This window comes from Homo sapiens, chromosome 8 (genome assembly GCF_000001405.40).
Source record: "Homo sapiens chromosome 8, GRCh38.p14 Primary Assembly".
NCBI classification, from domain to species: Eukaryota; Metazoa; Chordata; class Mammalia; order Primates; family Hominidae; genus Homo; species Homo sapiens.
Window position 1 is genome coordinate 92901329 of NC_000008.11, and position 15901 is coordinate 92917229.

Sequence of the window (15901 nt, forward strand, 5' to 3'; positions counted from 1 at the left end):
TAGAGAAAGGGCTTTCACTTTTTCCTCATTCAGTATGATACTAGCTGTGGGTCTGTCATATATGGCTTTTATTACGTTGAGGTATGTTCCTTCTATACCCAGTTTTTTTGAGGGGTTTTTATCATGAAGGATGTTAAATTTTATCAAATGCTTTTTCACCATTAATTGAAATGATCATAGGGTTTTTGTCCTTCATTCTATTGATATGATGTATCACATTGTTTGATTTGTGTATGTTGAATCATCCTTGCACCCCTGGGATAAATCCCACTTGCTCATGATGAATAATATTTTAATGTGTTGTTGGACTTTGGTTTACCAGAATTTGGTTGAGGATTTTTGCATCAATGTTCATTAGGAGTGGCCTGTAGTTTTCTTTTTTTTAATGTGTTCTTGTCTGTTTTTGGTATTACAGTAATACTGGCCTTGTAAAATGAGTTTGAAAGTATTCCTTTCTCCCCTATTTTTTGAAAGTTTGAGTAAGATTGGTATTATTTCTTCCTCGAATGTTTGGTAGAATCTAGCAGTGAAGCCATCAGGTTCTGGGCTTTTCCTTGTTGAAAGATGTATTATGGATTTGATCTCATTGTTTGTTATTGTTCTGTTCAGGTTTTGGATTTCTTCATGGTTCAATCTTAGTGAGTTGTATGAGTCTAGGAATTTATCCATTTCCTCTAGGTTAACTAATTTATTGGCATTCAGTTACCCAAAGTAGCTTGTATTTTTTATTTCTGAAATATCACTTGTAATGCCTCCTTTTTCATCTCTGATGACATACACCCCAAGTCCACTGGTTCCGAGCCCAGCAGAGTACCAGGACTTGCCAAGGAATTGCAGTCCTTGTGGCCTAGACTGCCTTTCACGTTTATCTAGGATCCCAGAGTATTTTAGTCCGTGGTGATGACGCTTGCTGAAACTCAGGTTCGTACCACCAGGATAGAAGACTTGCCTCTGGCTAGGACTAGTCTAAATGCTCCCTCTGTGGGCACCAGCTAAGTTCTTCCCTGTGTGGCTTTCCACTGTGACAGGGCAGCACTGAGTTCCAAGGCAAATTCCCACAATCACTGCACTCTCCCTCATGCAAGTGCACAGATTGTCTCTTAACACCACATGGCCAAAGGTGAAGTACGGGAAAGGGGTGGTATAGGTGACTCAAGATTGTCTTTCAAATCCTCTTCAGTGCCTCTTTCCTTAATACGATGTTAAAGCCAGGTACCGGTTCACCTGTTTTTTGCTTCTTATGAAGGTGCTTGTTTTGTGTGAATAGTTGTTCAGTTTGGTGTTCCTGTGGGGGGATGATCGCTAGAGGATTCTGTTCAGCCATTTTGCTCATCAGGTTAATTTCTTATATATAGCCTATATTTAAGTAATTTTATAAAATTTCAATGTGAAAATCTGTCCTTTAATTAGTATGTTTAGGTGTTTACATTTAATAAAACTATTGATATGTTTTCATTAAGGTCTAACTTTTTTGTTTCTCTTTGTTCCCTTTGATTTTTGTTGCTCTTTCATTTTCCTTCTTATTGTATTACTTGAACAATTTTTAGTGTTCCATTTAAATTATGTATTGTGATTTTGACTCTAGATTAATGTTTTAATGGTTGCCCTAGAAATTATAAAATATATACCTAACTTTCCAGACTAAATCAAATCAATTTTTATTCAATTTCTTATTTTTAAATATATTCTAAATTATGTTTAAAATTTTAACATTTTAAAAACTTTAGTAATCCAATACATTTCATATTTTAACTTTCCAGACTAACTCAAATCAATTTTTATTCAATTTCTTATTTTTAAATATATTCTAAATTATGTTTAAAATTTTAACATTTTAAAAACTTTAGTAACCCAATACATTTCACATTTTAATGTAATGGAAATAAGAAGTGCATTTATTTTTAGTGTTGACTTTGCTAGTTATTGTTTATATCATTTGACTTTGCTGTGCTCATTTAAGAGCAGCTTTGACATTTGTCATTGGTTATGGAAGTTTTATCCAGACAGTAGATTTTTTAAATAATTCAAGCACTTAAATGTCTACATATAAAGAATTATACACGTGAATATACTATTGTAGCACAGGTGTTTTTGATAATTAAATGCCAGGCAAGATATTGGTGTCCCTGCTTGATGCATGTTCTTATTATAGCCTAATAGTTTTGCAATAAAATGTGAAAGGTACATGCATAGTTAGGAGGATTATTATACTCTGGTTGCTGACATTTTATATTAATAATAAAAACTGCAGGCTATAGGTGCCTGTGATTCTGTTGCAGAATAAAATTTCCTATTACTCTTTTCTCATGTTGTGATCAGTTTAATTGAAGAGTATCCTGAAATTGCTAGATCTATACTATTAATAAGATAGTTATCATATTTAACTATTTATTTGTATCAATAAATTTTTCTCAATAGTATGTCATCAAAACAAAGTACAGAAATGAGTATTACGTTCAGGGTGATAACTAATGTGTAAATGAAACAGGTCAAGTGCCTGTTATCCCAAACCTTGTGTAAAAGACAAATAATAAACAAACAAAAATTGTTCAATTTATCAGGTGATAAAAAGCACTAAAAAGAAGAATACAGTTGGCAATGGGCAGACAATCAAAGCGAGATATGTATTGTTTTAGATATGGCAGTCAAAGGAGTCCTCCTTAATAAGATTTCATTTGAGCCTATACTCAAATGAAGTTAGCAAAGAAGCCATGTGGGTAGATGATAGAAGCAATTTCAAATATTGGAAATATTGAAGTGCAAAGATTCAAAAAACACTAACTCCTAGAAGGAGTTTAACAGATAAGTTGATTAAAAAAAAATCAATTCCTAATGGCAGACTCAGTGATCCAGAACAGACCCTATGTTCATTTTCCAGTTTTTGAATACATGGGCTCAAATGATAATGGAAATAGGCAGGATCTCCAGCATGGTTCCCCAATATGTGCTCTAACAGCTATTTTGTTAATGAGTGTGAAGTAGAACTATTACTCCCTTTCTTTACTAAAATGATAAAGAAAAGGAAATGTATACTCCTGGGGGAATTTCAGAGGTTGACTATATGATGAATAACTTTGTATGTGCAGTCACACTGATTATTTTCACTGGCCTGTTTATTTCCTCACTGTGATTAATTATATCATGGAAACCAACTGAGTACTACTGAAAATTTAAAATTATAGTAGAATTTTCTTACTGTAGCAGAATAATGAAGTCCCTAGCACATGGTCATAACTAGCTAATTAACCAAGCCAATGCATTTTTCTCAGGCCTGATCACAGATACTGCAAGAGGCTGTCTGTCCTTACTGGAAAGGACAGCAGTATACTTACAGTCCTACTGCAGGAGTAGATAAACTCCACATCTCAGTGTTAAAAATATGATTCCCAGAGATTTTAACTGCTTCACAACCCCACAGTATATCACAATGACAATGATATGATGTAAGTCTTGGAGAAGCCATGGAAAGTGTCTGAGACATCTCATTCAGATATATACATAAAAGAGACAATAATAAACATTCTTTTAAAAGAGGTTTGCTACCTAAGTCTAATTTATGGAGGTCTGCATGTTGGAATTGTCTCCCAGAATTAAAGGTTAACTTGCCACACCTTACTTACCATTACCATCACCAGCAAGCATGGTGCAAAGGCTCAACTTCTTAAAAAATAAAAACAACACTCACAACTTGATTATTACACATCCATACTTATGACACAACACTCTTCTACTAGGTATATGTTGCAGGGAAACTTGTACATGTAAATCGATGAACAGACACGTCTAAAAATATTCATAGAAGCATCGTTCGTAATAGCATTCATAGAAAAAAAAACTGAGAATAATTTATAACTGTCCAAAATCAGGAGACTAGAAGAAAAATACCAGTATATAGAAATAATGGAAAGCCATAAAGCACAGAAAATGAATGAACTATATCAACAGCCATGAACAAAAATAAAACTCTAAAACATGATGTTCAGTAGAAGCAAATTTTATAACAATATATACAACATGATTTCATTTATATAAAGATCACCTATATAAACTGACAAAACTAAATGATAGATTACTGGCACAAATTTAAGTGGCAAATCCTTAAAGAGAATTAATACAAAATTAATATTGTGGTAATCCCTCGGAAAGATGGAGGACATTGCAATTGCGATGGAGTATATAAAAGGCTTCTTAGCTACTGGTGTATTTTCAATTTTTAACTTGGATGGCGGATCCATGGTTGTTCATGTTCTTGTTTTTTAAACCTATAGTACTTATTTTATCTATGTAGGGGACCTGAAAAGTTCCTAGAGTTGAGTAGAGCATGGGACAATAAAAGGTTCTCCAGTAGATTGCTGTGACAGATACTCTATCTCTTGGAGTCTATGACATGGTAGATTCAATGGAATCTGAAGTACTGTTAGCTAACTGAGACATAGAAGCAACCCTTCAGCAGGTATGAATAAAAGAAAAGTGTCAGTCTCTAGGGTTTTGGAACAGTGCCATACCCCCTTCAGCAAGTAGCATCTGCTAAGAAACAACTCCTGGATTGCTACCAAATGGATAGAGAACTGACTACCTTGTCATGAGACTCAGGGATCATCTGGCCTGAGCTTCCAGTCATGAACTGGAGGTTATCTAGTTCAATAAACTATAAGATTAGGTATTTTAGCATTAAAAACATTTGTACATAGATCTTTATCATATTCTCACACCAGCTAGAAATAGACTGCTATGGTATTATAGCTATCATTGAAGATGAACCCAAAGGGCAATGAAAAAGGGAAATTGTCCCAGTGGCCAAAATTTGAGTAGTATATTTTGTTCAGTTTACCTGGAAACAGAGGTAACCTAAAGAAAAGATACGATACTAGTTCTCCTGAATTGAAAGCTGAGCCAGCCACCTAGGCAGTTTGAATTCTACATACCTATAGGCAAACTAGTAAAATGGTCAATCATAGTGTTGGCTGAGGTAATTTATGCTGGTTATCAAGGTCCGTTGAAATGGTTTGTTCATACATAGCGCATGCCTAAAGGAGTATGGGAAGAGGTAAGGAAATTCCTGGGACAACTCAAGTACTATTTTGACCAATCATAAAATTTAATACAATTTTTAAATTTTTAAAGGCAAAGACCCTCAGTAAACTAAGGTTCTTGAATTAAGAAGGGAAGTCATAAGTTACAACTACTATGACCAACTAGAGAACTGAGAATGATAGCCTGAACCTATATTTCTTTGCTTGCTCCTAGAATGTAACACTCATCTTCCCCATACAAACAATTTCCCTATAAAGTCACCATTATCAAAATTTTAAAAACATTTCTTCCTCTTCCTTTATGCCAAATCACAATAGAATAAAGGGAAGACTGCTAACACGGTGAAATCCCGTCTCTATCAAAAAAAAAAAAAAAAAAAATTTAGCCGGGCGTGGTGGCAGGCGCCTGTGGTCCCAGCTACTCAGGAGACTGAGGCAGGAGAATGGCGTGAACCTGGGAGGCGGAGTTTGCAGTGAGCTGAGATAGCGCCACTACACTCCAGCCTGGGAGACAGAGCGAGACTCCGTCTCAAAAAGAAAAAAAAAAAAATACTGGACTTAGTGAACAGCAGCTCAAGCTTGATTGGGATATATGTTTGGGTAGCTGTGGAGGATGCTGGAGATATCCTTAGATCATTTTCAGAATTATTCTCATTATCAATGACAGAAATCCATCTTGAAATAACATGAAAATGGGAGAGAAAGAGATTGAGATTGATTCATTGATTCCAAAAAATAAGGGAAAAGGAAAAATTTTTGTAGGGATTGACATAAGTTGAAGTTTTGACACTGAAGGACTTTCTCTTTCTACCATCATTTCTATTTCTTGTTTTTCTCTGGAATCATGGCTATTTCCATCTGTGGCTCACATCCTATAAAACTAAGACCAAAGTGGAATGGATACTTCTGCCTGGGATCATTTTAAACATCGTTCTCATGCCCTAAAAGATTACCTTTGTGAATGGTTTCTTCCAATTACATAAGACTAAGATTCACTTAACAGTGTGTGTATAGCTACCAATTCAAGCAAATTTAACAAACCAAACTAGTTCTTCTCTGTGTCCTCCTGTTAAATATGGATTAAAAATATATACTTGAAAACTCAAGGTACATAATCAACAGAATTTCCAGTTTCAAGTCTTAAACAGAGATTATGAGTATTAACTAAAAGCAAAGTCGTTATTAAAAAGTAAACATTAATATAAAAGAATTTTCAAATTATTTCTGGAGTTTTTGATAGCAAAGATGGTAGCACACAAATTCATAATTTTTACTTGCATATACAATACAGACAATCTGTAGTGTCAGCTTTTTAAACAAAATACTTTAAAAGCCATTTTAAGTTATAATTTCTAATTAGTAGATATTATCTGTGTTAAAAGTTCCTTTGCTTATATATTCAGTATGAATAAAACAGGTTTAACTCTGGCATTAGTGCTGTCCCTATAAAAAAAACACACATTTATGTACATACAAAGATAGCTACTAAAACAAATATTAATATTGAGAGATATAAAAACATATTTAATAAAAATAATAACTATTTAAATACCTTATTGTCATCATTTACCATTCCTCATATTACACTATTTTAGGGATGGACACAGTCATTTATATGTTCTAAAAAGTTATCTATGCCAGAAATTATTTCATATTTAAAGCAATCATTTTAACTGTGACATGACTTTTTCATGGGAGCTTCCTTAGTTTAAATTAAAAAAACAAAATAGATTACTTTACTGCTTTTGGCTTTTTGTTGTTCAATTCCTTACCCTTGCCCAGAAACAAGACTACATCTTTGCCCTTTGTTGATATTGCTGCTCAAGCTCATTATCACGTGAATATCTGGTTATTGTTTTATAAATGTTCATTTTCTAGAAGCTCACTGTTTCTTTCTTTCTCAACAGTCGACTTTACACTAGCCACACTCATTATCATCATGTGGCAGTACTGCTCTTCCTCTGCCTTTGCTGCTTTAAAAATTAATGCACTGTTATTTTCTGAATACTGCATAAGCTGCTTATGAGTACATTATGCTATCAAGCAAGCACATGCAGAAAAGCTTCCTAAACTGTTATTCTTTCAATGAAAATACAGCTGGTTCTGCTTCAAAGGCACATCTTTTCACCTGCAAATGGACTTGCTCCTGCACTTATTCCTCAATTCATTGTCTTTTATTTGTGTCTAGAAATCTTTAATTGCCTTTAATTAGAAAAAAGTAAATTCAGTGCTTTAATCTTGCAAATACATTCAATCATAATTCTGTCTGGGATAAATACCAAGTTCTATTCACTGTCTGATCTCTGTAACAAAGATATATAATTTATTGTCCATTTATATAGACCACACCAATTAAGATACAATAGAAAAGCAGAGAGATAAGAGTCAAAATATTTGAAAAGAAAAATTTGCAATCTAAATTTAATTACTCAAATGAATTATTGGAAGATGAGTTATTTACAGCATGCCAAAAATACTGGCAAATAATATTTGGTAATCAACAATAAAGACTTTTATATTTCCTTCAACATTTTTAGAATAAATCTCACCAAATGCTTCCAATCCCTCCTCCCTTCGTCAAAAAGCAATATACTACTTGGAATCTTACTTTTCTTGTATTACCTAAGTTACATATAAAAGTAACACAATTTGTCATATAAAGTAAATCTGCAGCTGCCATATGAACACAATGTTTAGTTATTATATTGCAAACTACAAATATCTAAAGAAGACTCATTACAAAACTAGGGGTCAATAGTCTTTCGTATGGAATCTTGTTAAAAAAACTCTAGTAACTATGTCAGTAAACAAATGGCCTGCATTTTAACACCTTCAAGATGAATAAAATTACAAATGCTCACAGGAAAATAACTAGGTAAAACATTAACCAATCAAATTGATAAAATGAAAATAACTACAAAGCCAGAAATAATCCAGGAGATTACCATCAGCATAACGTACCTTTACATTTAATAAATCGTGCAAAGGATAACAATTTCCTTAAAGACAAAAAGCAAGTATTACCTACAAAGGTAAACTACGCAAAAAGTAAAACTTCTCTCAAAATTATTTGGAGATATCCAGAATATAGAGAGCAGGCTGGTAAATTCATCATTGAAAATAAACATCTCGGGCAAATTTTTCATTTTAATTTTGTTATAGAAACAATTCAAACCAATGATAATTTTTCAATGCTTGGACATAACAGCTTGTCATGCATTACCATTACAGAAAACACATCATCATTTAACACCACATTAAGTACTAAGAAACAAGCACTAAGCTTAGAGCTGCTAAAGATAAACCAAGTTGCTCATAAAATACAAATTAATTTCCAAGAAAATTCATATTAAAAATGCTAACCAAGCAAAAATTTATACATGGAGGAGAATTATAGTTAAATAGAAGATGTTATAAATAATATCAATCTTGAGTTTGCAATTAGTACTCAAAAAAGTCCACAAACATTTAAGAAGTGGTTGTATCCAAGGTACCCATGGGGATGTAGAGAAGTAAAAGAAAGACAAACAACAAAAAGAATAACAGGGAACCTAAAACGCAAAATTAAGAAAAATTAAACAACGACATGTTTCAGTAAGTATTCAATTTAGTTAAACATACTGCTTACTATTTCAAGAAAAATGATAAAATACTCAAATTAATGTAAACAGGTTAGGTTAAACAAAGGGTATATAAAATTGTAATCACCTAAGAATTAGGACAGTTGCTTTATTGATTATTTAAATATTTATTAAGTACCTTCTGTGAACATCATTAGAGATGCCAAAAAAAATTAGATGGAGCTTCTGTCTTCAAGACTATTTAAATTCTAGTAAGTACAATTAAAAAAATATGTGAAAGATAGGAGAAAGTAATCACATTTAGAAGTTTAAAAATCCTTATTGTCTAAGTTAAATAAGGATATTAATATACTTTATTAAGTCAACTATGAAAACTTGAGAATCTCCTCTCCCTTTCCCAAAACAAGGAAAGAAAAGAAAAGAAAAAAAAGGAATGGAAAATGTTGAAAATTTGAAGAATGAAAAAGGAAACATAGTCAAAAAGTTTCAAGAAAAAAGGTTAGAGCGGAGATTAGCAAAGGAAAAATCACTACAAATGAAAAATATAAATAAAAATGTGAAAATATATCAAGATTTTTAATTCATAGTAAATTATATAGAATTAAATTTGCTTGCTTGAAAACAAAGATTCTCCACCTATATTAAAAAATCAATTATATCATTAATTTATAGATTAAAATAAAGGGATAAGAAAAATACAAGAGTACTTAACAAAATAACAAAAAGTATTTTACCAATATTAATATAAAACAAAAAGAAGTCTAAACAGACACTTCATAAGTACTTTATAAATAAAAAGGTCATTATATAATAGAAAAGGGGAAATTATCATAAATATATACCAATTTACAAATGCTAAGCAACGAAAACATAGCTTCAAATATATAAAGCAAAAACTGATAGCATTACAAGAATTGAAAACTATAGTCTTGGGGTATTTTAATTCTCATTTTTCACTAAATGACAGCTAAAATATATAAAAAGTACACAATAGAGTTGAAAACTATAATTAATATAAGTAGTACTGAATCCTAATATTAGAGAATACCTATTCCTTTCAAGCACAGGGAATGTTAACAAAATTGACTGCATACTAATTCAGACAGGAAATACTAATATCAAAAACTGATATCATACACAAAACACTGTCGGTACAAGAAACAAGGCTAAAAATCAATTTGAGAAAAAGTAAGAGTGGAGCTTTTGAATGTTATTAAAGTTAAGCTATTATTAGCTTAAAATAGACTGTTAAACATTTTATGGAAGCCTCATGATAACCACAAAGAAAAAAAACTAATAATAGATACAGAAAAGATAAAAAAAACTAATATTAGATTCAGAAGAGATAAATAGAAAGAATCAAAGTATATCACAACAAAAATTATCAAATTGCAAAGATGATACCAAGCGAGGAAGAGAGGAACAAAAGAAATACAAAACAGACAGGAAACGATTAACAAAAAATGACAATAAAAAGCCCTTACTATCAAAAATTACTCTAAGTGCAAATATATTAAACTCACCAATCAAAATATATAGAGTGTCTCAATGGATAAAAAAAGGTTCAGTTATATGCTGTCTATAAAAGACTAGCTTTAGATTTAATGACACACACAGGCCGAAAGTAAAGAGATGGAAAAAGATATTCCATGCAAATCGTAACCCAAAAAGAGCAGGAGTAGCTATACTTATATCTGACTAAGTAGAATTTAAACCAAAAACTGTTACAAGAGATGAAGAAGGTCATTACATAATGATAAATGAATTAACTTAACAGGAAGATATAATGATTATAAATTTAAAAATACACATATATGCATATGTGTACATAAATAAATATACATATATACATATATATGTGTATATATGTACATACATGTATATGTATATATACATATCTACATACACAAGTATATATGTATATATGAGTGTACATATATATGTATATGTGTGTGTAGACATATATATATATATATATATGCACCCAACATCAAAGAATCTAAATACATAAAACAGCCATGGAACTGAAGAAATAGAAAGCAATACCATAATAGTAGTCAAAAATGGATAGATTATTGAGACAAAAAACTCAAGAAAAAAACACAGATTTAAACAATACTACAGAACAAATGGACTTAACAAATGTATACAGAACATTCCAAGCAAAAGTAACAGCATACATATTCTTCTCAAGTGTACACTAACATTCTCCAGGATAAATCACATGCTAGGTCACAAAGTAAGTTTTAACAGATTTAAGAAGACTGAAATTACTCCAAGTATCTTTTATGAGCACAATAGAATAAAACTAGAAATCAATAACAAAAGGAAAATGGGAAATTCACGAATACATGAAAAGTAAACAAGGAACCCATGAACAATCATTCAGTAAAAGAAATCAAATGGAAAATAAGAAAATGTTTTGAAAGGAATGAAAATGAAAACACAATATAACAAAATTAATGGGATACAGCAAAGGTAGTACTGAGAAAAAAGTTTATTAACAATAAACAACTAGATTTAAAAAGAAATATCTCAAATAACCTAACTTTATACCTCAAAAAATTAGAAAAAGAACAACCCTAAGCACAAAGTTGCCAGGAAAAAGCAAAATAGTAAAGATTCTGGCAGAAATAAATGAAATAGAGAATAGAAAAACAATGTGGAAAAAATCAATAAAACTCATCACACACGAAATAGCAGACATTACAACTGATGCCACAGAAATGAAAAAGATCATAAGGGGCATTTATAAACAATTATACACCAACAAATTGAATAAACTAGAAGAAATGGGTAAGTTCCTAAAAATATGCAACCAAGCAAGAATGAATCAAGAAGAAATAGAAAGCCTGAAAACTAGTAACAAATGAGACTGAATCAATAGTCAGAAACTTCCCAATAAAGAAAAGCCCAGTACTAGATGACTTCAATTCTATGAAACATTAAAAAAAAATCCTTCTTAAAGTCTCCCAAAATATGGAAAAAGAGGGAACACCTTCAAACTCATTTTATAAAGCTAGCCAGCATTACCTTGATTTGAAAGCCAAAGACACCACACCGAAGAAAACTACTGACCACTATTCTCTTATGAACATAAAACAAAAATCCTCAAGAAAATATTAGCAAACAAAATTCAACAGCACATAAAACAGATCATATACAATGACCAAGTGGGATTTATCCCTGGGCTATAAGGATGGTTCAACACATGAAAATCAATTCATATGATAAAGTACATTAACAAAATGAAGAATAAAAATCACATGATGATCTCAACAAATGCAGAAGAAGCATTTAACACAAAGTTCACCAGGAACTTAAACAAATTTACAAGAAAAAAACCCCATCAAAAAGTGGGCAAAGGATATGAACAGACACTTCTCAAAAGAAGACATTTATGTGGCCAACAAACATATGAAAAAAAGCTCAGCCTCACTGGTCATTAGAGAAATGCAAATCAAAACCACAGTGAGACACCATCTCATGACAGTCAGAATGGCAATCATTAAAAAGTCAGGAAACAACACATGCTGGAGAGGATGTGGAGAAATAGGAACGCTTTTACACTGTTGGTGGGAGTGCCAATTAGTTCAACCATTGTAGAAGACATTGTGGTGATTCCTCAAGGATCTAGAACCAAAAATACCATTTGACCAAGCAATTCCATTACTGGGTATATACCCAAAGGATTATAAATCATTCTACTATAAAGACACATCCACACTTATGTTTACTGAAGCACTATTTAAAATAGCAAAGACTTGGAACCAACCCCAATGCCCATCAATGATAGACTGGATAATGAAAATGTGGCACATATACACCATGGAATACTATGCAGCCATAAAAAATAATGAGTTCATGTCCTTTGCAGGGACATGGATGAAGCTGGAAACCATCTTTCTCAGCAAACTAACACAGGAACAGAAAACCAAACACCGCATGTTCTCATGCATAAGTGGGGGTTGAACATTGAGAACATACGAGCACAGGGAAGGGAACATCACACAACAGGGCCTGTCAGGGGGTGGGGTGTAAGGGAAAGGATAGCATTAGGAGAAATACCTAATATAGATGACGGGTTGATGGGTGCAGCAAACCACCATGGGACATGTATACCTACGTAACAAACCTGCACGTTCTGCACATGTATCCTAGAACTTAAGGTATAACAAAAAATAAAATTCAGCACCATTTCATGATAAAAATTCTCAATAAATTAGGTATAGAATGAATATCTCCCTTCTTTTTTTCTAGTACTTTTATGTCTTATATTTGCCTTTTAGGTATAGAATGAATGTCCCCCTTCTTTTTTTCTAGTAGTTTTATGTCTTATATTTGCCTTTAATTCATTTTTATTTCTTGACATTGGTCTTGGCTATGATTTCTTGGATGTAACACTAAAGAACATGCAACTGAAGCAAAAACAAACAAAGGAGACTAAATTAAACTAAAAATCTTCTGCATGGCATAAGGAGCAATGAACAAAATAAAAAGGTAATCTACAAAATGGGAGAAAATATTTGTACACCATGTACTTGAGAAACAGTTAAGTCAAATTATATAAGGAACTTATATTTTACAATAGTAAAAAAGACAACTTGATTGAACATACCTGACTAGAAAATGGTCAAAAGGTCTGAATAGACATTTCTCCAAAGAAAATGGAGAAAATGACAAACAGGTACATGGAAAAGTCCTCAACCTCCCTAATTATCAGAGAAGTGCTAATCCAACCACAATAAGATAATGTCTCACACGTGTTAGGATGACTATGTTAAAAAAACGTAATAAATGTTAGTGAGGATACAGAAAAGACAGAATCCTTGTATATTCTTAGTAGAAATGGAAAAAAATAGTATGGAGATTCCTCTAAAAATCAGAAATATAACTACTATATGACCCAGCAATCTCTCTCCTAGGTATATACCCAAAGAAAATAAAATCTCCACATTTTAGAGATACCATGTTCACTGCAGCATTATTCACAATAGCCAAGATATGGAAACAACCTAAGTGTCCACAGACAGATGACGGAATCAAGAAATTATTTTATACATATATAAAAATATATTTCACCCTTTAAAAAGGAGGTCCTGCCATTTGGGAAAACATGGATGAAATTGGAGGACATTATGCTAAGTGAAGTAGGCCAGACAAAGAAAGAAAAATACTGCATGATCTCTCTTATCTTTTCAATCTTAAAAAACGGATGTCAAATATGTAGAAAAGGAGAGTGGAATGGTGTTAGCAGAGTTGGAGGGAAGGGGAAATGCAGAGATGTAGGTCAAGGGTATAAAGTTGCAATTATGTAGGATGAATAAACTATAGATCTAATATACCACATGAGAACTACAGTTAATAATATTGTATTGTACACTGGATATTTGCTGAGAGTAGATTTTAGGACTCTTACCACACACAGAAAAGGTACTATGTGAGATGATGCATATTTTAATTGGTTTGACTGTAGTAATCATTTACTCTGTGTGTGTATAGCAAAAAGTGATGTTGTACACCTTAAATACGTACTATAAACATTCTTTTTTTTTTTTTGAGATGGAGTCCCACTCTGTCACCCAGGCTGTAGTGCAGTAACATGATCTCTGCTCACTGCAAGCTCTGCCTCCCGGGTTCCCGGGTTCACGCCATTCTCCTGGCTCAGCCTCCCAGGTAGCTGGGACTACAGGCGCCCATCACGACGCCCGGCTAATTTTTTTTTTTTTTGTATTTTTAGTAGAGACAGGGTTTCACCATGTTAGCCAGGATGGTCTCGATCTCCTGACCTTGTGATCCACCTGCCTCGGCCTCCCAAAGTGCTGGGATTACTGGCGTTAAGTCACCGCGCCCGGCCTGTACTATACAAATTCTTAATTGGCTATATGTATTCCAAATATTTTTTACTTTGTTTGCATGTCTTTTGTTTTTCAGAAATATATTTTGCTTTATAGAGCGTACTTTTTGTGTCTTATTTATGAAATAGATATATACTATATTTTGGTATCAATTATTTATATTTATTTTCTGACTTCTAATGTAACTTCTTTGTTTATCCTTTAGTTATTTAGAAGTGTTATTTTTATTAATTTATTTTGTATTTCCAAAGCAATGGTACAGATGGAAAAAAGTGCACTAAAGGAGAGGGTTGGGTGAAGAAGGGGAAGTTACCTTTTTGCTTCTAACTAATTTCTAATTTACTACATTTGATTTAAAAATGCAGTTATAGGATATTGATTGTTTATAACTTGGGATACTTTCTTTGTGACTTAGTATGTAGGTAGGTAATTTTTTAGAAATACTCCATGTATCCTTGAAAAGAAAATCCTGCACCTAGAGCCTAATTTAAAATAGATAAGCTTCCTGTTATCTTCCTGTGCTAAGTGAGCTTTTCTAGTCCACCGTTCTACTAGGGTAGTATCTCCTTGAGGGTCCAAGTATATTTGGGAGTCTCAATTCCATCTACAAATCCTTATTTCCAGTCTTCCTTAATCCTTCTTTCACATATGACCTCTGGAGAATTCTCTTTCTTTTTTTCTGAACTCAGGTTTCCATATAAAAGAACATTTGTTCTACTTTATTTAGCATATTTTACAGGAGAATTTTGAAGTTATCAAATTATTGCCAATAAGAGTCAACAGAATTAAAAGTTATAATATGTATACAAAGGAATGATTTAATGGATTATAAAATCAAAAATGCTGATTATATAAAAGCATTCAGCCTAAAGAATAATATTTATTTTTTGTTTTATTAAATTAATTAAAATTATAAGAGCACTGAAAAATCGTAAGTACATGAAGTTCATATCTTTACTGGTAAGCAGGACTGCATTTAATTTTGCTTCCATAAAACTCTATAAAGTCCTTTTTCACTCACATATTTCTGTGTATCATATGTATTAGAGAAAATTTATTTTCTTAATATGCATAATTGTGTTTTTATCTCAATTAATAGGAGTGTATCAAAGATAATTCATTGCTTACCAATTTGTTTTCTGTACTGATCAACAGGAAGTTTTATAGTAGCAGCATCTTTTCTACCCATCTTTGATCTCCAAAATGCCTGCTGAAAAGAAAACAATTATAATGAAAATTTTTTTAAAAAGGAGTGTCTATAAAATCCAGAAATAGTTTATTCTATAAAATTCATTTTTAAAGCAATGGGTACAAATACTTTGACTTATTTCCATTAAATATTCATAAAGAAAACAAAATTCTTTTAAATAAATTATCAATGATACAATTGCTGGTAATTAAATTTCTCAATCATTTGTTTTTGATAACA

At 32.1% G+C, this 15901-nt stretch overlaps 1 protein-coding gene across 14 annotated transcripts in view; it reads right to left on the reverse strand.

The window, feature by feature from the left end:
- TRIQK (triple QxxK/R motif containing) overlaps window positions 1-15901 on the reverse strand; it is a 134132-nt gene that overhangs the window by 17795 nt on the left and 100436 nt on the right. For 9 of the 14 annotated variants that reach the window (XM_047421713.1, NM_001171799.2, NM_001171797.2 and 6 more), the window contains one exon: window positions 15601-15682. In XM_047421713.1, the coding sequence (XP_047277669.1) occupies window positions 15601-15661 (61 nt within the window). In that variant the 5' untranslated portion in view covers window positions 15662-15682. The remainder of the gene's footprint in view (window positions 1-15600; window positions 15683-15901) is intronic. The other 5 variants (NM_001438083.1, NM_001171798.2, NM_001171795.2 and 2 more) reach the window with 1 other exon arrangement.